This window comes from Homo sapiens, chromosome 8, assembly GCF_000001405.40.
Source record: "Homo sapiens chromosome 8, GRCh38.p14 Primary Assembly".
NCBI classification, from domain to species: domain Eukaryota; kingdom Metazoa; phylum Chordata; class Mammalia; order Primates; family Hominidae; genus Homo; species Homo sapiens.
This window is the reverse complement of record NC_000008.11, coordinates 56,541,937-56,568,091: the sequence shown is the minus strand read 5'-3', so window position 1 is coordinate 56,568,091 and position 26,155 is coordinate 56,541,937. Positions and strand designations below refer to the sequence as shown.

The 26,155-nt window shown below is 40.9% G+C and overlaps 3 long non-coding RNA genes across 3 annotated transcripts in view, besides 3 other annotated features; 1 reads left to right on the top strand and 2 right to left on the bottom strand.

Moving 5' to 3' along the window:
* Positions 1-1,387: 1,387 nt before the first annotated feature.
* LOC105375850 (uncharacterized) lies at positions 1,388-2,845 on the bottom strand. Its single transcript, XR_928912.3, has 3 exons — positions 2,805-2,845; positions 1,711-1,807; positions 1,388-1,532 (listed from the first exon to the last, which is right to left on the bottom strand). It is a non-coding gene; the product is annotated as an uncharacterized LOC105375850 (long non-coding RNA).
* Positions 3,427-3,602: a silencer, noted in NCBI's record as "fragment chr8:57477049-57477224 (GRCh37/hg19 assembly coordinates)". NCBI's record gives its function as "represses an EF-1alpha promoter that drives an FKBP-Casp9 reporter gene in an ReSE screen in HepG2 liver carcinoma cells {active_cell/tissue: HepG2}" and the evidence as "EXISTENCE:reporter gene assay evidence [ECO:0000049][PMID:32094911]".
* Positions 7,632-7,681: an enhancer, noted in NCBI's record as "active region_27402". NCBI's record gives its function as "activates an Ori minimal core promoter by ATAC-STARR-seq in GM12878 lymphoblastoid cells {active_cell/tissue: GM12878}" and the evidence as "EXISTENCE:reporter gene assay evidence [ECO:0000049][PMID:35858748]".
* The window catches only part of LINC00968 (long intergenic non-protein coding RNA 968), a 41,506-nt gene continuing 23,619 nt past the window's right edge, over positions 8,269-26,155 (top strand). Inside the window, exon 1 of the long non-coding RNA NR_038236.1 lies at positions 8,269-8,639. This is a non-coding gene — a long non-coding RNA (long intergenic non-protein coding RNA 968). The remainder of the gene's footprint in view (positions 8,640-26,155) is intronic.
* Positions 8,967-9,106: an enhancer, noted in NCBI's record as "active region_27401". NCBI's record gives its function as "activates an Ori minimal core promoter by ATAC-STARR-seq in GM12878 lymphoblastoid cells {active_cell/tissue: GM12878}" and the evidence as "EXISTENCE:reporter gene assay evidence [ECO:0000049][PMID:35858748]".
* The window catches only part of PENK-AS1 (PENK antisense RNA 1), a 106,261-nt gene continuing 96,130 nt past the window's right edge, over positions 16,025-26,155 (bottom strand). The window contains exons 3-4 of the long non-coding RNA NR_125813.1: positions 19,734-19,799; positions 16,025-17,774 (exon numbers count right to left, since the gene is read on the bottom strand). This is a non-coding gene — a long non-coding RNA (PENK antisense RNA 1). The remainder of the gene's footprint in view (positions 17,775-19,733; positions 19,800-26,155) is intronic.

The following is a 26,155-nucleotide window of genomic DNA, read 5'->3' as shown; positions in this document are numbered from 1 at the left end:
CATACTAATCATCAAAGTCTAGAATGTAGTGAATGCTACATGACAACCTATTTTCTTTCATAAATGAATTGCTGGGAACCAAAAATGTCAGGATGTGGACACCTGTAGATGAAAACAGATTAGAGCTACATATTCACCAGATATAATCAGTGAACCTTGTTTGGATCCTGTATTAGTCTGTTCTGACACTGCTAATAAAGACATACCCAAGACTGGGTAATAATTTATAAAGAAAAAGAGGTTTAATGGACTCACAGTTCCACATGGCTGGGGAGGCCTCACAATGGTGGCGGAAGGCAAAGGAGGACCAAAGGCACATCTTATAAAGTGGCAGGCAAGAGAGCTTGTGCAGGGGAACTCCCCTTTATAAAACCATCAGGTCTCATAAGACTTATTCACTATCAAGAGAAGAGCATGGGAAAGACCCACCCCCATGATTCAATTACCTCCCACAGGGTCCCTCCCATGACGTGTGGGAATTATGGAAGCTACAATTCAAGATGAGATTTGGGTGCAGACACAGCCAAACCATATCAGATCCTGATTCAAACTAAGCAACTGGAAAAAAAAAATGCATGTGACAATTTGAACACTAACTAGATAATCTGATAATATTTAGAACTCATTATTAATAATTCAGATAAGATAATGTTTGCATCTTATGGTTTTAGGAAAAAAAGAATTACCTTATAAAGATAAATACAAAGACATTTATAGCTGCAATTAATTCTATGATGTCTGGAATTCAAAATAATCCTGTGGTGGAGGAAGGGGAGTATGCATCAAATAAGACTGGTTGAAGTCAGATGATGAGCACTTGATGGGGGCAGAGTTATCTATTATTATACGAATACTATTAGACCTTAAACTATTCTCTCTACTTTTGCACCTATTTGAGATTGTCCATAATAAAAACTTTGAAACATAAAAATTTTTGAAAACAGTATTTAAACAATGGTTTCATACCACGAGCTGTAGTCTTTACTCATATTTCATCCCTCTTCATGGCCTCTTCCATGATGCCAGGTGTGTGTTACTCACTTTACGTATGTTCCTTTGTATAAGCCGTTCCTCTGTGCCCTCAAATGTCCAACTTACAGAATCCCCACGTTGCCCACACCCTTTCTTCTGTTTCTTGCATTGAAACAGAGATACTTCAATACAAATAAAACATATTTAACCCATTAATTGTTTTCTCCGGTGAACTTAGTCTTTCAGAAGTTAGTCTTCATTCATCTTTATCTTCCTCTCAAATGTTTAAATAGACAGATGCCAAGTATGTAACACTCTTTGGTATAAATAAATGAAACCATGTAATCATCATTTTCATCTATGTTTTCTGACTTCCTTAAGCAAAGTTCCTCCTCCATGATCTTGTGAAGCTCTTCAAACTTCTGCCAGCATGCTTACTAAGTCTATCGCGAGTGTCATTTTGCATATACCTACACTTATCTGTCTCTTCCTCCAGAAGAAAGTGAGAGCTTTGAAGTTGCCAAGTGTTTCTTATTCCTCCATCTCCAGTTTGACACACACTAAGAATTCAATAAAAATTTTTTTTACGTAAAGGAAGAGAGGTAAGAGAAGCAGGGGCAGGAGGGAGAAAGAAATGTTTAAATAAATACATTAGAAACTGTGAATATTAATAGTTTAAATGTTTGACTCCTATATTTTTCCAATCTTGTTTGACTGGTAAGTCTGCAGGGTTCATACCTTAAACTTGAGTCATGCTTACTACTTATAACCAGCCTCCACTAATTCTCCGATTGTATAAGAAGTCAAGAACTATGAAAATCCACAAATATAATATCTGAAAAATCACAAAGTACAAGGTTAATCACACAAGATTAGGATTGCATCCCAAATTAGAAAATAAAATTGTTAACAAAAAAGCATATTATTTTTGAATAATAAATTAGGTAAAAAATTTTGCAAAGAATCAAAATTTCCATCAAAGAAGAAAGGAGAAAATATGTACATGATTACAAACTTAATCAAAATGGACATTATTTAAAGAGGATTTGGCTTGAAAGCTTCTAGGTATTAGTTTGTTTTAATTCTGTATGTTCAAAAGTTGTGAAATACATAGTTTCTAGGATAGAGTGACCAAATATGTTTTATTTAATCATTCCACATGCCTTCCACCTGTTGGGAATAGACCGTCTCTGTCAGGTCCTGTCTGCTTTAAGTCAACATCACTCTATTCATCAAGCTGACAATCTTAAATGGAAGTCAGTGTTCTATTTGATTTTCTGCCATCATAATGTGCCTTCAGCCACAACCACTTTCAAATTGCTTTTTCCTGGGGAAGATTGTGAGCTTATCATTAAGCTCACAGCCAAAAAGCCTTAATACATCAAATGGAATGGAGAATAAATGTAAAAAATGCACTAACAGAGGATGTCAGATCTCATTTATTTTTCATTTTACTCTTTCAGTACACATATATCTTTTTTATGTTGAAATATTATCTCTAAATCATCCATTCAAAAAGGGATTTTCAAATTAATTTAATTTTCATAACATGTGCAAGCAAACACAATAAGCAAACAAACAAAACAATCTCTCAATGGCCAAGCTGTGCTTTTCCTTTCTCCATGCAACACCTGCAAGCTGCATTGACTTCTGGGAGAACTGATGCACTGTCTCAGAACTTGCAGGTTTTTAACATGAACTTATACCACAGCAACTACAAGAAATTGTTCTGGGGCCTACCAAAAGTTAGGGATACCTGTCGTTTTAGTCTATTTTCTGCTGCTATAACAAAATACCTCAGACTGGGTAATTTATAAAGAAAAGATATTTACTTGGCTCACAGTTCTGGAGGCCAGGAAGTCCAGGATTAAGGGGCTGCATCTGGTGAGGGCCTTCTAGCTGCATCATACCATGACAGAAGGCATCACATGGTGAGAGAGCCCGAAGCGAGAGTGCATGAGTCAGAGAGAGGTTGGGGGCTGGAACTTCATCCATTTTTATCAGGAACCCAGCCTCACAATAATGGCATTAATCCATTCACAAAAACAGAGTCCCTCATGACCTAATCACTTCTTAAAGGTCCCACCTTTCAACACTGTTACAATGGCAATTACATTTCAACATGAGTTTTGGAGGGGACATTAAAACTATAGCACCTGTGCATCAGTTAGGATCTGTTCCTCGGCAAATAATGGCACACAACAGGGCTTAACACACCATTTACTTAATATGGATTCAGAGGCAGGCAGTGCTAGGGTTGGGCAGGCACACCAACAATGCCACCAAGGACTCCACACTTTCACCCTTCCTCATGATCCATAGCGTGTGGGCTTTTGTCCTTGGGCTTTTATTTTTTTTTCTTTTTTGACGGAGTCTCACTCTGTCACCCAGGCTGGAGTGCAGTGGTGCAATCTTGGCTCACTGCAATCTCCGCCTGCCAGGTTCAAGCAATTCCCTTGCCTCAGCCTCCCAAGTAGCTGGGACTACAGGCGTGCGTCACCTCGCCCAGCTAATTTTTGTATTTTTAGTAGAGACGGTGTTTCACCATGTTGGCCAGGATGGTCTCAACATCCTGACCTGTGATCCGCCCACCTCAACCTCCCAAAGTGCTGGGATTACAGGCGTGTGCCACTGCACCCAGCAGGGCTTGTTTCTTTATAGTCATCATATGCTCACATAGCAGTTGTCCAAAGGGAGGGAGGAAAGAAGGCAAAAAGAGCTTTCTCTTTGCCCCACTCTCTCTTCTGTCAAGGAGAAAAATCTTTCCCAGAATCCCCAATAGAGTTCCCATTTGGACTCATTGGCCAGAACTGGGTCACATGCACAAACCTGGAAAAAAATCACTGGCAAAACAAATGGGGTTAATATGATTAGCCTGAATCAATTACAGTTCAACCCCTGAGGCCTCACACTGTTCAAACAAAGGAAGACTTCACTGCTAAATGAGGAAGACTTCACTATTAGCAAATGTCTTCAATCTGCCAAAAATTATATATTTATCCCTAAAGACACCTATAATTCCATTTTTAGCAAGTTAATACACTGAACATGGACATGCAGTGAAGTAGAATGGAAATCAAAATACAAAAGATTGATAAAATATTAGCCTTGATAGTTGGAGCTTTAATAAAAGGCCAAACAAGCGTTATTCTTACTTTGAAGATAATTCTAAGTGTGTGATATTTACCATAAATCCTTCATTAGTGAATATTAGAGATTTATCATTTTCCTTTCATGTAATGACCTTTACCATTAGTAAATGACATTTTTTAAATTAAATCAACAAGTCCTCCAAGAAGAAACATGAAATTGTAGAGAAGTGTCTAAATGTTAATGTTGCAAGACCATGAATAACCTTTAAGTTGTCTCTGCAGAAGCAAATTCATCATTAAATTTAACCAGTTCACTAGCACTGAGGATACCAGGAGCACCTGTTTTCTATGAGATCATCACCATTATTCAGATTCTACACAAGAATTTTTCAACAACCTATTTATGAGTCTACCTAACCATATCATCAAAAAGGATTTACCAAGTTCTTACTTAAACACAGCTATACTATTTCCCTGCTGTACCAAACCACAATCATATATATACATATACACACATACACATATGTTTATTCTGGAAAGATTTTTTTTTTTGAGATGGAGTTTTGCTCTTGTCGCCCAGGCTGAAGTGCAGTGGCACGATCTCCACTCACTGCAACCTCCACCTCGTGGGTTCAAGTGATTCTCTTGCCTCAGCCTCCCGAGTAGCTGGGATTATAGGCATGCACCAACACGCCCGGCTAATTTTCGTATTTTTAATAGAGATGGGGTTTCATCATGTTGGCCAGGCTGGTCTCGAACTCCTGACCTAAGGTGATCCACCTGTCGCAGCCTCCCATAGTGCTGGGATTACAGGCATGAGCCACCGCGCCCAGCCTGGAAAGATTTTTTTTCTGAGACAACTGGTGCTGACTCCCAGCAATCAGTTTTTCCTCTTCTAGGTTCCTGCTAATCGTTCATTTGTTAACTGCCCATGGCGCTGCCTTCACTGAGCTCTGTGCCATCAGTTACAGGGGGTTCTCCTTAGAGAGGAGCATAGCTGTCCCTCTGTGCTTTCCTGGAGCAGCCACATTCTCCACAGTCCTCAAATATCACATAGACTGTGGTTCACTTGGGTGTATTAAGTCGTTCTTGCATTGCTATAAAGAAATACCTGAGACTGGTTAATTTATAAAGAAAAGGGGTTTAATTGGCTCATGGTTCTGCAGGCTGTACAGGAAGCACGATGCTGGCATCTGCTCAGCTCCTGGGGAGGCCTTGGGAAGTATAATCACAGCAGAAGGCCAAGAGGGAGCAGGCACATCACATGGCCAGAGCAGGAGCAAGAGAGAGAGTGAGGGGGCAGGTGCCACACACTTTTAAACAACCAGATCTCACAAAAACTCACTCTCAGGAAGACAGCACCAAGCCATGAGAGATCTGCCCCCATGATCCCAACGGCTCCCACCACGCCCCACCTCCAGCATTGGAGATTACATTTCAACATGAGATTTAGAGGGGACACAGATCAAAACTATATCACTGAGCCATCTCTGTTTGGGTCTGTCCTCAGAAAAAATGCTTCTGGAAAAGGAGCTCAGATCCTTTGTGTCCATATTTGTTTCACTCTGAAATATCCTTAGACTTGCCACAAAGCAATGGAAGCAAATGAGGGCTGTGTTGTCTCTTTCTGATGCCTCAGCTGATACGGCCTGCCCAGAGAATGAAACTCTACATTTCTTGTACATTTTCTTGATACAAATATAATATTGAAAAGAACAATAATTTATTTGTTTTCTTTTATTCAGAAAATGAAACACCTCTGACAAATCTGTAATGACCCTGAATTCTGGGTGGTGCAACTGTGTGGTCTCATATTCCACGCACTACTCTCCTGTGCTTTCACAAGCTTTTAATATAAACAGGGCCTCTGGAGTCTTTTAAGTTTTTTTTGTTCCAGTGGAAAACTAGTAGTTTTGAATTCCCACTATTCATTCAGAAAATATTTAAGCACTTACTATCTGCCAGGTGTTGAACAAGACACTCAACAAATGCCATCTCTAACCTGTTGGTAATGATTGCTAACCATTTAGGTGTTTTCTGCATTTTTCTGTTCAGGGAATGAATGCACAGAGAGCTTATTGAAACTGCTCAGGGTCCCACAGACAATAACTAGAGGTGCCAGAGACCCATATTACTGCCCAGTTTGGGTTTTATTGTACTAACACTACTTCTAAGAATTGTGTCACTTTGTTCCTATGAAGAGCCCAAGAATACTAAATGGGGAAAGGAGAGCCTCTTCAACAAATGACAATGGGAAAGCTGGATACCCACATGCAAAAGAATAAAACTGGATCCTTATCTTCCATCATACACAAACCTCAAATCAAAATGGATTAAAGACTTAAACCTAAGACCAGAATCTGTAAAACTACCTAGAAGAAATCAGAAGGGCAAAGCTCTATGATACTGGTCTGGGCAATGATTTTTGGGAATGACCAAGAAAGCACAGGCAATAAAAAAGCAAAACTAGACAAACAGGATCACATCAAACTAAAAAGATTCAGCAAAGTAAAGGAAACAATCAACATAATTAAGAAACAACCTATAGAATGGGAGAAAATATTTGAAAACCATGTATCAGATAAAGGGTTAACATTGAAAATACGTAAGAAACACAAACAACTCAATAGCAAGAAAACAACCTGATTTTTAAGTGGGCAAAGGATGAGAAAAGACATTTCTTAACATAAGAGATACAAATGATCAATGAGTACATGAGAAATGCTTAACATCACTAATCATCAGAGAAATGTACATTAAAACCACAATGAGATACCCTCTCACACCTGTTAGAATGGTTGTATCAAAAAGATGAATGATAACAAGTGTTGGTGAGGATGTAGTGGAAAGGGAACCATTGTATACAGTTGGTAGGAATGTAAATTCATACAGCCAGCATGGAAAACTATACAGAAGTTACTGAAAAAAATAGAAATAGAACTACCATGTGATCCAGCAATCCCTTTACTGGGTATCTATCCAAAAAAATTAAAATCAGTGTATCAAAGAGACACCCGCACTCCTATGTTCAATGCAGTATTATTCACAATAGCTAAAATGTGAAATCAACCTAAGTATCTCTCAACAGATGAATGAATAGAGAAAATGTGGCATATATACACAATGGATTATTATTTAACCTTAAAAAGAGGGAAATCCTGTCACTTGTGACAACATGGATGAGCCTGGAGGACATTATGCCAACTGAAATCAGCCAGGACAGAAACACAAATACTGCATGACCTCACTTATGTGTGGAATCTAAGAAAGTCTAACTCCAAGAAGTAGAGAATAGAATGGTGCTTACCAGGGACAGGGATGGGAGAGTTAGGAGGATGTTGGTCAAAGAATATAAAATATCTGTTAGACAGGAGTAGTAAATTCAAGAGAGCTATTATACAACATGGTAATATAACTAACAACAATGTATTGTATTCTTAAAATTTTTAAACAAAAATATATAACAATTAAAAAAAAATTGTGCCTCTTGGTAATACTTTGCCTTGCTTATGTGTCCCTTGCCTACAGTTAACACATATCATTTTTATTCTCGAGCTCAGCAATACATTTGGTGTTTATAGAGTGGTGGCTTCAGGCTTCAGACACTTCCTGGTTACCGTCTTCATCAGGATCATTCATAACTGAGGTGACATTTCACTTTCAGTGTGCTTCAGTTTCCTCCAAGAGCACATCTCTGAGGCATAGCCACCCCCAAATTCAGAAAGGCAAAAAGCCCGGGAGGCATGGGGTAGCTAATCCCAGTTGAGAGATGACAGCAGCCTTCCCTCTGGCCCCAGCACTGCCTTATCCGAGGCTCTTTCCTCCCTCTCCCTCCTTGTTCTCAGCCCTGTGCTTTGCTCAGGATGACAATGGTAAACTCCACAATGATCCCGTAAGCCCAACCAATAGTCCCTCTTTTGCTCTACTACTTCAGCTCTGACATTTGTAAATTTCCTGTCCCCTGCTCCAGTTCCTCTTTCATTTTCTGTGTTCAGAACTCTCCCAACTCCTCTGTGCTACCAACAAAATAAAAACAACAAAACCATCCTCAAAAATCTGTCATTCTCTTGGACCAGCATTACCCTTAGTGTTTTGGATGATGAAAGCACAACTGTTCGTTGCACCTCTTTTTGTTTTTATTTTATTTTTAATTGGCAAATAAAAGTTGTATGTGTTTATGGTGGGGAAGTCGGGGAAAGGGGAGATGTTTGCCAAAGAGTGCAAAGTTTCAGTTACATGGGAGGAATCAGTTCTGGTGGTTTATTGCAAAACATGGTGACTATAGTTAATGTACTATGTATTTCAAAACATCTAAAAGAAAAGATTTTAAGTGTTCTCACTACAAAGCAATGATAAATATTTGAGATGCTGAACTTTTTAATACTTACATTCTTAAGTTTTTCAAGGCTTTTCTAATAAGTCTGGCATTCCTGCCCTTGGCAGTGTGAGATGGAAGATGATGTCGCAAGGGTGGCCGAGAAGCAGCTGGGCTGAGCTGCTAAAAGCACAGAGACCGGGGCCAGACTCCTCAGCCTGAAATCCTGCTTCCACTAAGTACCAGCTGGGTAACTTCAGGTAAGTTACTAAGCCCTTCTCTGCTTTGGTTTCTGTTTTATATAAAATTGGATTAGATATAGGAAGATAAAATGACTTAATACTTGTAAAGTGCTTAGAACAGTGTCTGGCACATAGCAAGTACTACATAGTGTTTGTCAAATACATTTTTAAAAGAAGAAAAAAGAGAGAGAGAGCTTTGAACTGTTCCAGAACCAAAAGAAAACTGAGTTATTAACTCCAGAGTTGGGGGTTGCTGAAGTGTTACTTTCTGTTATATGTGGAAGGGGGAAGTTACTCCCCTTATCATGACATCAGGCTGTGAGGACGAAGAAAGGTAGCTGTGGTTGGACAGAGGGAGACAAGATTGGAGGAACAAAGCCCCAGTGGTCTCACAGAGACACAAGGCAGCCACAAAAGGAAAAAATGAGGAAGAGCAGCCAGAAACCAAACCAGAAATGAGAAAAGAAAGAAGGTGTCGATAGATCGCTTCTGCCGACGACTGGTTTCTAGGAAGAAGCCATGTAACTGATGTATCTTTTCAAATGGTTTATTTACATACTCATTCCCTTTTCATTTACAACTTGTGTAAAATTAAACTATTTTTTATTCATACTATGGGTAAGTGCAGCTTAACAATGGGTCATGCCAGCACTTATTAGTGCTAAGCTACCACAGGCACAGTAAGATGCATTTCAAACACATAATCTCATTTAAATACAGCAATATTGCAACAGAAACGTTGTGGTCTGCATTTTGCCCATGAAACACTGGAGACCCAGGAAGGTCATAACCTCTCTCAAAGTCACAGGGCTAGTCAGAGCACAGCTGAAATCCAAACTCAAAGCCACCTGCCTCCACAGTGCACTCGCAACTGCTCTGTGAGACCTCCATCTTACTTATGTGGCAAGTGCTGCGAAGTGGGAAGAGCTCTAGATTAGGAGGTAGGTGGGTCGCCCTTGGCTCCTGCTGGGCCATAAACCAGCTGCTCACTTTGTATTTGAATCAGAGTAAGAAAATCCCGAGACTGTGCCTGTTATATTCAAGATAGAATTTGTGCAACTCTGGTAAGGATGAGCAAGAGTTTCGACTTATTTTAATCATATTTTGTTTAGTATCTGATTTTGTCAAGTAAGGAAAACTTTAACCTGGAGGCGAGTGGGTGTTATTTACGAGAGGAAAATAAGGAATTGACTCAATCAGAAATGATAAAGTAGTTCAGTGGAGATCTATAAGAAACAAATTCTCATTTTCTCATGGCTACACAGAGAATACTGTTTCAAAGTCAATTAAGATGAAAATTAAACATGGGACTTCCCAGGAAACTGTCTCATGAATTACCAAAGGAGATAGAGCAGGAGGGCGGTGGGTCTGTGGCTGTTGTCGCCTGTGTGCACCGGAGCCCTCCGCTAGGGGGCAGCACCCCACCCTCACTGCCCTAGGTGCAGTCCCGCGCAGTGTACGGAATTGACTTCAGTTCATAGGGGAGAAATTAGTATCCCCTTTGGCCCACACATAAAACCCTATTCTCCTATCTGGCTTTGATAAGCCATAAAGCCGGTATTTTGATCTCTAACTCTCAGTCTTCTATACGTCTCTTAATTGGCTCTGACCCCAGGAAAAAAAGAGAAGGCTGTTAACAGTAGCAACAACTAACACATGATATCTGCTAAATTGTGCCCTCGAACTTGGCTTCTTGCAGCGTGCATATTGATTTAAGTATATGTTAGGAAAACTAATTTTATTGGCTATTTTAAATCCAAAAGAGAATGTAAAATGTGTCAATTTTTCACTCCCTGAGTAATCCCAAGGAATATTCTGAAACCTTACAACATTTATACTGCTGTTCATCAACATTAGTAGCTCATCTCATCACTCGGTTCTAATGAAGGTCTAGGTCCCTGTGCTGATTTTTATTTCTGTGAATTTTAGAAGTTCCTGTGCCCTTTCTTTTTCCCAGTAATGTGTTGGTATTCTGCTGATGTCTAATTATCCTTTCAGCCTTCTTCTTTGAGAGAAGCAATGTTGCTGTAGTTTTTCTAACAGACCATTTAAATCATAATCTCTTTTAAAACTGACATTTTTATTACTCTCTTGATTTAAATGCAAATATTTGAATATACTTTGAGAAGACATCATTGCAGACTCAGCGGGCTTGTGTGCCAGCTGGGGATGATCACAAACAGCAGAGTAAGGCCTCCCCATAAGACCTCAACCCTGCTTTGGGAATGGTTGTGATGATAAACCATTCTGGGCATTCTCACTCTGCCTAATTATGAATTCATATTTATTTATTACAGACACTGGTCCCAACTGCTCTCAAGTGTCCTTCCTACTAAGCACAAATTAGTTGAATGGGGCAACCTTATCAAGACCACATGCAAAACGGGAAGTGGGAATGGGCCACTAAGTAGCATCTAGAAAAAGATTTATTGGGTTATGCTGTTTTTTAAAAAGAAATCAATCTATTTAATACCTGACAAAAATCTTCAAAAAATCAAATAGGAAGCACAAATGCTACTGGGAAAAGTAGCAACCATAGAACCATAAACTATTGATGATCATGAAGGTAGTAAGTAGCTACCAAAACAGACTTTCTAACTATTTCTGAGATTCTTTGATATGAATAGAATTCTGGCAAACTAAACTTTCTTATTAGTTAGACAGCGCTCCCTGCTATTTGCATACTTAGCATCACCAACTCAAGCCAGTTTTGCAAGATGTTTCTGTTTTAAGCAGAGAATACATAGTTCCTGTCCAGGAGAAACTAGATGGATCTTAAACAGAAAGTGGAGACGTAGAAATATTGAATACAGAGCATTTTAAAGCAATATGCATATAAGCTCAATGTGTATACAATGATTGCAAGACACATATGTCTCCCTTACCAGAATTCATCAAATAAACATAGGCACAAAAGTAGTCTTGCAGAACTTATTCTCTTTTTATTTCCCTTCTTTCAATAACAATTTCTTCCTCGTTACAGGTAACATTAGTTCAATGACATTTAATTCCTTAGATATATCAATAACACATTTTTTAAATGAGTATTCAATTATTAGACAAAAACAAAAAAGGAGGGAAAAAATTAAAAGCCTAAGTGACTTTAAAGAATTTAATTCTTTCTTGAGTCTATTTGATTACATTCAATCATATAGTCCCTGTGCAGAAATAATTCTGAGGAAGTAATCCAGGCAATGTTTCCCAGCTGATTCAATTTAGTTAATAACTGGAGTTGTCAATCAATCAATCAAATACCAATTAATTCATAAAGCTGCTGGAAAGAAACTTTAGGGAAAAATTTATATTCTACCCTAGGAAGTACATTTACATTATCAATGTTTGTATTAGTCTCATGCATGTTTCCTGTTGTTTTTTTAATCTCCGCCTTTGATTAATTTCTTATTTAAACTGCCTCCTAATCTCATCAGTTGCACAAATCAATATCCAGTGTTGACTAGTGTTTAATGACCCCAACTTCAGGATAGCTACTGCTCTGCTGTGTTTCATGTCTTAAGAGAAACAAGATCTATTGCTCATCAGAACTGCAACCAGACAGAATTCTTCACAGAGTACTCATTGGAAAACTCTATGTAGCATGATGAATAATGTTTTTAACAATGTTTTTATAACCATAAACCCAAATTTCATAATGTTGCTTCTTGTAGGGTCTGTCAATTCAAGCTTTACATTCCAAGTTCACTACAAGAAAAACAAATGTACTAAAAGACAAAAACAAGGCAGTTCAGGCTCTCTGTAACTGACCAGGGGTAAGCTCTCAGGTACTTTGTATCTTTACATTCTCTCATTTCATAAGTCTTACCATATATATTTCACATAAATATTTGGAAAAGTGTTTCTCCTACTAGCAGAGTTAGCCACTTACTCACGCTCAGCTCCAAATTCACCCTTTTTGCTTGCTCTGTGAAAATGGTTCTGAGCCACTAAAGTATTTTCGCTTTGCTAAATGTTATGATATTAAGCTTTGTCAGTAAAGGCCACTGGTGAGATACTGCACAAGTGTTTTGCTTCCTGTTCTAGACAGGTTCCTGCAGGGCAGACAGCTCCCCCATACTCCCAGGCTCCTGCAGGGCAAGGCAGCCAGGGGTGCCTGGCACCCAGCAGCTGCCTCCTACAGTCTCTCTTGGGCACTGGGTGCAAAGGCTCAGTGCCTCCTGGGAAATACATTCCCACAAACAGCTTCCCTTGTCACCTTAGAAGGAATATCTCCAGTGAGTTCCAGAGGGTGGATTTCCAGCAAGTCCTGCCAGTGCCTCGGGGAATGGCAGCTCCTTCCAGCTGCTATGCCAATATTCCTCTAGTTCTTATTAGCCAAACACTCCTTACTCCAGTCTCCTGTTACAGTTAATAATTCTTTATGTTCATCTTTCCCTGTTCAAATTTCTGGATGATTTCTCTCCCCTAACTGATACATAGAATAACCAATAATGAGTAATGCTAAAGTCATATCACACTAACACCACTTAAAATTAACCGAAGTTAACCAAAGGACAATCCTTACCTGTTATCTTTTTATTAATGTCACTATAATTTTATCTTAACACAAGGAAAAAAATTAAATGTTTGAAAATTTTAATTACATGTCAAATATTAGTGGTAAATACTTGTTAGTTGAGTAATATAAAAAGGTAAACACTTAAGAATTTTTATTTTGTCAGAAACTGCAGCATGAGTTACACAAATATTAACTTACTTAGTTCTATTTTTTTTTAAAACTTCAAGGTATTTTGTTGGTGCCCACTTTATAGACAAGGTAACTGAACCTAGAGGTTAAGTAATATGCTTAAATTCATATAATCCATAAATGGTGAAGCCTAGATTCAAAGCCAGACTCTCTTGAGCTCCAGAGTTTTTTCTTAACACAACTCAAAGAATTGTGGCAGCTTCTGCAGAAAGTCTGTGAGCCAGTCATTTTCTGCATCAACACAACAGCAGTTGTGCTCCAGGTCCAGAGTTGCTTTCTCTCCTCCTTTGTTAATTTAATCTCATTCCCTGAATATATATGCAAATTAATAGGAACTCAAGTTTACAGCTATCTTGGACAACTCTAATCTCTTTTTTGGGGTGGGGGAGTTACAGAAGTGGCAACTTATATTTAAAAATAATTCTTCTTCACATTTTTCCTTTTCACATTTACATCTCTGTACCAACATACTGCCTAGTGAACCCTAGTTGATACTGAAAAACAGATTTTATATTTTATCCATACTTCCCTGTGGAAACAAACATTTCCTTTGATTACCTATAAATAAAACATTCCCCTTAGGAAAAAACTGAGGAATCATCTTTTGGGTTGCTAAAATGTTCATAGGCCTTCCCATCTCTTACTGAGAAGATAAGCATTGAAAACTTGTTTGTTTAAAAATGGGAAAATCCATAAAAATCAAAGACAAATATCCATAACTTGAAATTAAAATGAGAATTCTGTATTGCTGGGTTTGAATCTGACTTAGTTCTTGGTCATTATTAAATGCTTACTCACATGCCTCATAGCATTGTCACTGAAAACTCAATACAGGACTCAAGGTAACATCACAATGCCCCCCGAGAACAAAGAAAGGGTAAAGAGTGCATATTTCCTATTACCTTTCACTTTCCTAAGAGAACAATGAGAAAACCATAGGAACTAGAGGATGGTTCAAGGAATTAAAAATCTTTACACAGAAGGAAGAAAATAAACAAAACAAACACCTACTTGGCAAGGCCATCTCATCAAAACAGTCTAATATGTATAAAAACATCAATCCATAAATAGCTCTTATTATTTTGAGATATGTCCCATCAATACCTAATTTATTGAGAGTTTTTAGCATGAAGGGCTGTTGAATTTTGTCAAAGGCCTTTTCTGCATCTATTGAGATAATCATGTGGTTTTTGTCTTTGGTTCTGCTTATATGCTGGATTACGTTTATTGATTTGCGTGTGTTGAACCAGCCTTGCATCCCAGGGATGAAGCCCACTTGATCATGCTTTTTTTTGATGGGCTGCTGGATTCAGCTTGCCAGTATTTTATTGAGGATTTTTGCATCAATGTTCCTCAAGGATATTGATCTAAAATTTTCTTTTTTTGTTGTGTCTCTGCCAGGCTTTGGTATGAGGATGATGCTGGCCTCATAAAATGAGTTAGGGAGGATTCCCTCTTTTTCTATTGATTGGAATAGTTTCAGAAGGAATGATACCAGCTCCTCCTTGTAACTCTGGTAGAATTCAGCTGTGAATCTCTCTGGTCCTGGACTTTTTTTGGTTGGTAGGCTATAAATTATAGCCTCAATTTCAGAGCCTGTTATTAGTCTATTCAGGGATTCAACTTCTTCCTAGTTTAGACTTGGGAGGGTGTATGTGTCAAAGAATTTATCCATTTCTTCTAGATTTTCCAGTTTATTTGTGTAGAGGTGTTTATAGTATTCTCTAATGGTAGTTGTATTTCTGTGGGATCGGTGGTGATATCCCCTTTATCATGTTTTATTGTGTCTATTTGATTCTTCTCTCTTTTCTTCTTTATTAGTCTTGCTGGTGGTCTATCAATTTTGTTGATCTTTTCAAAAACCCAGCTCCTGGATTCATTGATTTTTTGAAGGATTTTTTTCTGTCTCTATCTCCTTCAGTTCTGCTCTGATGTTAGTTATTTCTTGCCTTCTGCTAGCTTTTGAATGTGTTTGCTCTTGCTTCTCTAGTTCTTTCAATTGTGATGTTAGGGTGTCAAATTTAGATCTTTCCTGCTTTCACTTGTGGGCATTTAGTGCTATAAATTTCCCTCTACACACTGCTTTAAATGTGTCCCAGAGATTCTGGTATGTTGTGTCTTTGTTCTTATTGGTTTCTAAGAACATCTTTATTTCTGCCTTCATTTCTTTATGTACCCAGTAGTCACTGAGGAGCAGGTTGTTTGGTTTCCATGTAGTTGAGCAGTTTTGAGTGAGTTTCTCAATCCTGAGTTCTAGTTTGATTGCACTTGGTCTGAGAGACAGTTTGTTATAATTTCTGTTCTTTTACATTTGCTGAGGAGTGCTTTACTTCCAACTATGTGGTCAATTTTGGAATAAGTGTGGTGTGGTGCTGAGAATAATGTATACTCTGTTGATTTGGGGTGGAGAGTTCTGTAGATGTCTATTAGGTCCGCTTGGTGCAGAGCTGAGTTCAATTCCTGGATATCCTTGTTAACTTTGTGTCTTGTTGATCAGTCTAATGTTGACAGTGGGGTGTTAAAATCTCCCATTATTATTGTTTGGAAGTCTAAGTCTCTTTGTAGGTCTCTAAGGACTTGCTTTATGAATCTGGGTGCTTCTGTATTGGGTGCATATATATTTAGGATAGTTAGCTCTTCTTCTTGAATTGATCCCTTTACCATTATATAATGGCCTTCTTTGTCTCCTTTGATCTTTGTTGGTTTAAAGTCTGTTTTGTCAGAGGCTAGGATTGCAACCCCTGCCTTTTTTTGTTTTCCATTTGCTTGGTAGATCTTCCTCCTTCCCTTTATTTTGAGCCTATGTGTGTCTCTGCACGTGAGATGGGTCTCCTGAATACAGCACACTGATGGGTCTTGACTGTTTATCCAATTTGCCAATCTGTGTCTTTTAATTGGAGAATTTAGCCCATTTACATTTAAGGTTAATATTGTTATGTGTGAATTCGATTGTGTCATTATGATGTTAGCTGGTTATTTTGCTCATTAGTTGATGCAGTTTCTTCCTAGCCTTGATGGTCTTTACAATTTGGCATGTTTTTGCAGTGGCTGATACCAGTTGTTCCTTTCCATGTTTAGTGCTTCCCTCAGGAGCTCTTGCAGGGCTACTGAAGTTTGTGCATGCATCGCGTAGTTCTCATGCCATGGTTTTCAGCTCCAACAGATCATTTAAGGACTTCTCTACACTGGATATTCTAGTTAGCCATTTGTCTAATCTTTTTTAAAGTTTTTTAGCTTCTTTGGGATGGGTTCGATCTTCCTTCTTTAGCTCGGAGAAGTTTGATCGTCTGAAGCCTTCTTCTCTCAACTCATCAAAGTCACTCTCCATCCAGCTTTGTTCCATTGTTGACGAGGAGCTGCATTCCTTTGGAGGGGGAGAGGCACTCTGATTTTTAGAATTTTCAGCTTCTCTGCTCTGTTTTTTCCCCATTTTTGTGGTTTTATCATTTTGTTCTTTGATGATGGTGACGTACAGATGGGGTTTTGGTGTGGATGTCCTTGCTGTTTGTTAGTTTTCCTTCTAACAGTCAGGATCCTCATCTGCAGGTCTGTTGGAGTTTGCTGGAGGTCCACTCCAGACGCTGTTTGCCTAGGTATCAGCAGCAGAAGCTGCAGAACAGCGAATATTGCTGAACAGCAAATGTTGCTGCCTGATCTTTCCCCTGGAAGCTTCGTCTCAGAGGGGTACCCGGCCATGTGAGGTGTCATTCTGCCCCTACTGGGGAATGCCTCCCAGCTAGGCTACTTGGGGGTCAGGGACCCACTTGAGGAGGCAGTTTGTCCATTCTCAGATCTCCAGCTGCGTGCTGGGAGAACCACTACTCTCTTCCAAACTGTCAGACAGGGACATTTAAGTCTGCAGAGGTTTCTGCTGCCTTTTGTTCAGCTGTGCCCTGGCTGCAGAGGTGGAGTCTACAGAGGCAGGCAGGCCTCCTTGAGCTGCAGTGGGCTCCACCCAGTTCAAGTTTCCTAGCCGCTTTGTTTACCTACTCAAGCCTCAGCAATGGTGGGTGCTCCTCTCCCAGCCTTGCTGCTGCCTTGCAGTTCGATCTCAGGCTGCTCTGCTAGCAATGAGCTAGACTCTGTGGGTGTGGGACCCTCTGGGCCAGGCGCGGGATATAAACTCCTGGTGTGTTGTTTGCTAAGACCACTGGAAAAGCGCAATATTAAGGTGGGAGTGACCTAATTTTCCAGGTGCCATCTGTCACAGCTTTCCTTGGCTAGGAAAGGGAATTCTCTGATCCCTTGCACTTCCTGGGTGAGGCGATGCCTCGCCCTGCTTCGGCTCATGCTCAGTGGGCTTCACCCACTGTCCTGAGCCCACTGTCCGACAAGCTTCAGTGAGATGAACCCGGTACCTCAGTTGGAAATGCAGAAATCACCCGTCTTCTGCATCGCTCATGCTGGGATGCGTAGACTGGAGCTGTTGTGTATCGGCCATCTTGACAAACCTGACAAAAACAAGAAATGGGGAAAGGATTCCCTATTTAATAAATGGTGCTGGGAAAACTGGCTAGCCATATGTAGAAAGCTGAAACTGGATCCCTTCCTTATGCCTTATGCAAAAATTAATTGAAGATGGATCACAGACTTCAATGTGAGACCTAAAACCATAAAAATCCTGGAAGAAAACTTAGGCAATACCATGCAGGACATAGGCATGAGCAAGGACTTCATGTCTAAAACACCAAAAGCAATGGCAACAAAAGCCAAAATTGACAAATGGGATCTAATTAAACTAAAGAGCTTCTGCACAGCAAAAGAAACCACCATCAGAGTGAACAGGCAATCTATAGAATGGGAGAAAATTTTTGCAAACTACTCATCTGACAAAGGGCTAATATCCAGAATCTACAATGAACTCAAACAAATTTACCAGAAAAAACAACCCCATCAAAAAGTGGGTGAAGGATATGAACAGACACTTCTCAATAGAAGACATTTATGCAGCCAAAAAACACATGAAAAAATGTTCATCATCACTGGCCATCAGAGAAATGCAAATCAAAATCACAATGAGATACCATCTCACACCAGTTAGAATGGTGATCATTAAAAAGTCAGGAAACAACAGGTGCTGGAGAGGATGTGGAGAAATAGGAACACTTTTACACTGTTGGTGGGACTGTAAACTAGTTCAACCATTGTGGAAGTTGGTGTGGCGATTCCGCAGGGATCTAGAACTAGAAATACCATTTGACTCAGCCATCCCATTACTGGGTATATACCCAAAGGATTATAAATCATGCTGCTATAAAGACACATGCACATGTATGTTTATTGTGTCACTATTCACAATAGCAAAGACTTGGAACCAACCCAAATGTCCATCAATGATAGACTGGATTAAGAAAATGTGGCACATATACACCATGGAATACTATGCAGCCATAAAAAATGATGAGTTCATGTCCTTTGTAGGGACATGGATGAAGCTGGAAACCATCATTCTCAGCAAACTATCGCAAGGACAAAAACAAACACCTCATCCTCATGTTCTCACTCATAGGTGGGAATTCAACAATGAGAACACTTGGACACAGGAAGGGGAACATCACACACTGGGGCCTGTCATGGGGTAGTGGGGAGGGGAGAGGGAGAGCATTAGGAGATATACCTAATGTAAATGATGAGTTAATGAGTGCAGCCCACCAACATGGCACATGTATACATATGTAACAAACCTGCATGTTGTGCACATGTACCCTAGAATTTAAAGTATAATTTAAAAAAAATCAATTCACTCAACCTTCTCCCCAAGACAGCCATGAGGAGGCAGGAGCCTGCTAATTTCCTCTGCTCTCCTCCACGTAGCCTGTTCAATATCATTGAAACTTTTTCATTAATTTGGACTTGGAGATCACATTTTACTTTTTTCTTAGGAGAACGCTGTAGATTCTAACACTCAAGCTTCAAAATGCTAAGCTAATGACTAGGCTAACTGAATTAGTGAACAAAATTGAGCCCAACTCCTGCTTCATCCTCACTCCTCTCTCAGCCTTAAATAATTCTCTTAAGCAAAGCCAATATAGGAAAACAAATAGCCCCTTTCAAAAAACTGTTTTATATCTGCTGCTCACCTGCTTTTTAATGACTCAGAGACATCCAATTTGAATTGCAAACCATGGGAAACGTTGCCAGACTTTACTTGTAAAGCAGAACATATCTTATGTGCTCTCACATAATATAACAATAATTAGTCATTTAAAATCAACCAACTGTTCTAGTTGTTTAAGAAGAATTTTATTCAATGACAATGTACATAATTTTAGAGACCGAACCACAGTGACTATGAAGTATAAAATAGCTTAATCCAAGCTTCTACTATGATGTAGACATTTTGAAATGCTTTTAAACCCTGGTATCTAAAGTCCATTCAGAAAATTATAGTCATATGCTTGAGTACTCACCGTGCCTTACAATTTTTGACTAAAAGTAGCTTGTCTCCACGAAATGGATTCCACATTATTGGTGACCTACATGACAAAAGAAAAAAAAATCCAGTTCAGAGGATAATTGAACGACGTGTAAGCTTAGCACTCCATGGTTTATTACTGAAGTCCAGTTCTGTGCACTTCAAAATTTAACTCTGTGACCTGAGAGCTTAGGAGTAGAGCTGAAGTAACTTCACAATCATTAATTCTGCATGTTTTACATTAGGAATTCATAAGATTTTTCCCACCTTCCTCTTATGTGAGTCTGTTTTGTTTTGTTTTGTTTTTTAATGGAGAAAAACTCCCCAGATCTTCAAATACAATCAGCTATCCACCAAGATGTTCTTTGTTTGTGCTGTGGTTTCTCATCTCCTTGGGGAAACCACAGCACCCCCATTTGAGGAATACAGCTGATCAAGTTGGGAGGCCAACAGCTGTCTTTGAAAGAACTGTCTAGTGCTCTGATAAGTTTTATTTTTCAGTAAAATATTAGGTACCAATAATCCCCATTTTTAAAAGCTGTTCATAAGAGCAACAATCCACAGGGAGAAACCCTGAAAATTAATCCACGTGTCCAACCAGAACAGTCAGGTGTGGAGTTCCTGACTGTTCTGTCAGGCACTGACCTTACCTGACCGCTCCCCACACACTGCACAGTCTGGGAGCCATGCCCTGCCTCTGAGGCTTCACAGGGAGCACAGCATCACCAAACTACTTCTGTGTCCTCAAATCCAGGAAGGGGCACCGCATTTTCAAAGGAATGTTATCCAACGACTAGTTGTTTAACATTTTTCCATTTTCAGTGTCAAAAGCCTGGCCTGTCTTCTTCATTTTAATCCCAGGGCCTAGCAGAGTGTCTGGCACATAACAGAATGCTGAGGTTCGGGAGTCATGGACAGCTTCAGCCCCAATATAGGTGAGATCTTGCGGAGGCCACCTAACTTCTCTAAGCCTCAGAGGACTGTTTTGAGGAGTAATAAGGTCATGTACAATGTTTGGCACTTAGTGACTATAATTATGTTTGCCCTTATCAATAACACCTTAATGGAGCAGAGGACGCAGGCAAAATGGGGTGCCCCATACACCAAGCCGAGGAGCTGGAACCTGGTCTCCCAGCTGTGACCAACCACTCCAGTCTGCCTAAGACAGAGGGGCCTCCCTGGATGTGGGATTTCAGTGCCATAAGAGGACCAGCCCTAAACAAACCAGGTTGGTGGGTCACCCTCTCTCCAGATAACAGTAACATGGGAGAAATGTGTAGAATGGGTCGAACTGTATGAAACTGCTAAAATTTGACCATTTTTAATCTACCAAAATGGCAAAATTGTATGCCTTAACCAAATGATTGCCAACTCCAAAAATTGTGGATCCAGCTGGGTGCAGTGGCTCATGCCTGTAATCCCAGCACTTCGGGAGGCCAAGGAGGGTGGATCACGAGGTCAGGAGTTCGAGACCAGCCTGGCCAACATGGTGAAACTCTGTCTCTACTAAAAATACAAAAATTAGTTGGGCGTGGTGGCACGCACCTATAATCCCAGCTACTTGGGAGAACTGCTTGAACCTGGGAGGAGGACGTTGCAGTGAGTCGAGATTGAGCCACTGCACTCCAGCCTGGGCAACAGAGCAAAACTCCGTCTGGAAACAAACAAACAAAAAAACAAACAAAAATAGAAAATCCGTGCACTGACTCCCAGAGTGCTGATTCCTCCTCCATAACACACCAGCAGTAACCATTCATTCTTTGTGCACTGCTGGTGCTGACATCTGAATTCTCTGGAAGAATTTGAAGATGTACATTCTTGGTGGGGTGGCCCAGTTAATGGGGGAAAATTGTAAGAGCTATTTAAAGCATCCTCTTGTCCAGACCCTGCAGGCCTCAAATATGTTTTTTTGGAAGGAAAGATCTGTCTTTGAAATTCCCAGCTAAACAAAAGCTAAAGTAGGATTTTCTGAAGGAGCAAGTGTTTAATAAGTGAGATGGGCAAACTCAGCCGGCTCCAGCAGGTAGTGTCAAAGGGCCATCAGTTGGGGTCACGTTCATAGAGCCTGCCAGGTGATTTTGATGCTCAACTCACACTGAATTTGGAGGCACTAATACTTCCCCTTCTAGGTTGTCTTTTGAAATACGGTGCCTTGCCCACATGGACTTGGAAGCCCTGGACTGTCTACACCACACACATTCATCAGACCAATGTCAATCAGTTTTAAGTTACAAGGAATCTAGCAGAAAAAAAGAAAAAAAGAAACACCACCACCTTTGTGAATCTCTTATAGCAAAATTGAAAAACACAGGAAGATGGGCAGCAACTGAACTTGAATTTTCAACTTGTTTTGACGTAATGTAAACAGCCAGAGTTTGTGGCATTCACTTTTTTTGAAATTTAGTTCTTGGCTTCCTTTGAGTAGAAGGCATTACAGTTGACATTCAACTGTAAAATGGATTTATGGTTTCCACAAATCACTCCCTGGGGCCTTTAAGCAACAGAAGCCCTGTGAGGCCAAGAGGAACTGTGGCTCAGGCAATGGTTTGATGTGATTCAGACTTCCAGTGGTCTCTGAGCTACCTGGGGCATGAGAACAGGAGCCTGTGAGCGGCAGGGATTTGTGAGGCCTGGCGCTGTCTTCAGCTGATAAGCGGAAGACTCTTCATGGGTGTCCAGCCAACCCATCAGTTTTCATCACCAGTTATTAAAAAACCAGTGACAAGGCTGGGGGCGGTGGCTCATGCCTGTAATCCCAGCACTTTGGGAGGCTGAGGCAGGCAAATCACGAGGTCAGGAGATCAATACCAGCCTGGCCAACATGGTGAAACCCCGTCTCTACTAAAAATACAAAAAAAAATTAGCTGGGCATGGTGGTGCACCCCTATAGTCCCAGCTACTCTGGAAGCTGAGGCAGGAAAATCGCTTGAACCGGGAAAGCAGAGGTTGCAGTGAGCCGAGATCATCCCACTGCACTCTAGCCTGGCAACGTAGTGAGACTCTGTCTCAAAAAAAAAAATTAAATTAAAAAATAAATAAATAACCAGGGACAGGGATCTTTCATGTGCAAAGGCCAGATGGCTTATCTGCTGCAACTTCATGAAGGCAGCAGTGATTTCCAATTCTCGCAAACAACAAAATCCTTCACTTTGAAGCCAGCCCACAGCCATTTCCACCATTTCCTTTCCTTTCTGCAAATGTGTGCTGTTTTCTGTGTCTGCTCGTCCGCTCCCCGGATGTGTCACCTTGGAAGGGTTATTTATCTCCTCTGATCCCAGTCATTTTCCTGATTTGAAAAATGCATCAGTGGACAGGAGAACATGTGAAGATTGAATTAACTAATGCAGTGAATAAACTTACAGAAACGACTGGCACAAAGTGAGTTTCCAATGAGAGATGGCGATATTATTATTCTTCTATTCATGACTCTCTTTCGAGTTCAGTAATTCTAAACTGTTTTAAAATATAAGCTTTTTTATCATTTAGGTTTGGCAAGGCCAACAGATCAGCAGACAAGTGCCACTGAAAAGACAGTTCATTACTCACAGATCCCAAGAGGATGGGGTGCACTACATGGGGGGCAGTGCATACAGGGAAGCGTCAGGGTCAGTCTGGAGGTGGGTGGAGGAGCAAAGCACCAGCAAGAGCCTTTACTGTGGTTTCCATGGGGAACACAGGCAAGGCAGGATACGCATGCTTAGGATTGGCTGGTTTGAATCATTTCAAGGCTCTGAGGACTTAGGGGCTGTCCTTAGCTGTCTGGTCCCTGCCCTGGGGTGATTAGGGAAGGGAAGGCTGGCCCAGAGTGTGAAATCCCCATAGAGGAGGTGGTGGGAGTAGGCTGTGGATTGGTTGCTTTGCATATGAAAGGCAAGCTCCCAGAGGAGTTGTCTGTGATCTCTGGGAATTAGCTACCCACTTCACACTTCATACCGTCAAAGTATGAAGAAAAGAAAAGGCATGGTGAATACATAAACTCTCCTTCCATACCTCAGGAGACCTGCCTATCTGAGTTCACACTAGGCTTCTCCTCAACCACCTTCACCCGAATCCTCAAAGCCATTATGTAGGACCTCTTGCAAATATACGGCCTGCCAGATAGTAGAGGCCAGCTCAGGACAAAAAGAAGCGCTCAGAAAAGTCTTTTGCTTTCTTCTTCTTTCTGAAATCCTGAGGCATCAGTCCTGCCATGGTTCACACCAGCAGTGCAGCCCGTGCTCATGGAGGTGAAGTGAGAGACTGGCCTGCAAGAGTGACACATACAGAGAAGCGGAGGTAAGGCAGGCCCAGCATTCATTTTTCAAGATATATTATTTCAAGATATTTCCCTTTATTGAGATGTGGTAGTGATAGTTAATGATGGCTCCTCTCCCTGCTCAGAGTTCAGAAAGAATACAGAAAGAGATGAAAACATCAGGTTTGTTGTGAGTGAAGCAGAACTGGAAACATTTTGCATCTGGGGACATAATAGAGCATTTACATGCTCCCTCCAATTGTACTTTCCCGTCAGCTGACAGACAGACCACTGCAGACCTCTCCATAGGGAAGAAGGAAGTGTATGACCCCTGGATAGGCTGTTCTGGAAAAGAGACCACCCCAGTGATAGGAGCCATCCGGTTCCAGCTCCTTCCCCCAGTTTCACATCCTATCCTGTGCTCCCCTCCATTGGGGATGATGAGTGCGGGGCAAGGAAAGGAGGGAAGCCAATTTTCTCTAAAACCTCAGAAAGGGAGGGACTTCTTCTTTATTAGTATGGGCCAACCTGGGATGATGGGGAGAGGAGAGAACAATGTTTCCTACAAATGTATGAGTACTTATTGAGGGCAGGGCTTTGTGCTGGGTCCTGCAGCTGCAGAGATCAATTAGGCAACTCTCCTTTCCTAACACTCATGGGCTGGCAGGGGAAAGAAAGGAGCCTATGAAACAAGTCACTCTCAGCCACTGCAGTTCGCATTTGGAATGTATTAAAGGCGACAATGCTGTGAATATTCCAGGTTTGTCTAATCTCACAGTTGCCTACTCCCACTTCCTGAGGCCTGGAGCAGGATGGCCGTCCATCACCACACACACACACACACACACACACACACACACACACACACACACACTACTGATAGTCCACAGTGTAAACCAGGTTCTCCCAGAATCACAGAAAGGCCATTTTACAAAGCGGCATTGAGCTCCTTTTATGTGCTGGTCTGCAGACATTCAAAGAAGTATGAAGTACAATGCTTGCCTTTTAGAAAGGAAAAAAAAAATGTAAAACAAGATCAACATTATTTCTAAGGTAACCATGAGACAGGCAAGTTTGTGGTAAATTTGTACAGAAAATGCAAGCAATCAGAGGAAGGAAAAACTATCAGAGACTGTCATCATCCACACAGGCTTCCTGGAGGAGTTGGGTCTCTGTCTAGACTTTGAAAAATGTGTCTAGACAGAGAAAGAGAAAAATTTCCAAAGAAAAGAAACAGCTACTTGAAAATACCTGGTACAGGAGGGTTAAAGGCACATGGGGGAAGGCCTCAAAGTTGGCTAGGTATTTCATCAAGGCATGGGCAACATGAGAGTGTGGCTACTTCTCAGACTGTGGATAGCAGTTCACCGGCTGTTCAAGGTCAGAAGGGACTTCCTCTCTGCCAGCTGACGGCCTGATGACCTCCTATCTCTGGCCTCAGAGGGTGGGCACGCTGGAGGAATACTTAACACATCTGAGGCCAGAGGAGAAAACACACAGAATCCTTCAATGGCCCAAGCAAGCCTGAGCCTGGCAGACTTTGCAGTTGGATCCGCCAAGCTGTTGCATTTGCTACCTCAGCTGGCTGCTGTCACTGAGTCCCACCGGGCACAGAGACAACCCCATTGAGGCACTCCTGCCTCTCTTACAGGACAAGAATGGAAATGGCAGCACACGGTAGTCACCGCAAAACCACTTTCTAAAGGAGAGCCTGCACTGTTGTGTCCCCAGGACACCAGGGACTGGATGGGCACCTTTTCTGTGCTCTCCATCATCACCTAGGCACCCCACCTAGCATTTCTCAGTGAAGATAAGCCTCTACCTTTTGTGTATTCTCCCTTTGTGTTTTCATCTCGCATGCTCTTCCTCATCTGAACTCTTGTGTTGAGGACTAAGCAGCATAAGATGACTGATGCAGTCTAATAAACTGCACTAAGACAAGTGCTCGGCAGCAAATCTATTTTCCTGACAGTTGTAAGATGCAATCTCCTTGTTGTTGGAGGGTGCCATGCACAGGGCTGGGCTCCTCCAGTCTGCACATCCCCCAAAGTATTGCAGTGTGACAGCCTTCATTAGGAGAGGAACAAACCCCTGGACAAGATATTGCCACCCTGGAAATTCGGCTCTGTGGCGTGCCATGAATATCTTACCTTCTGACAAACAAGTTTCCTCCAGAATTGACA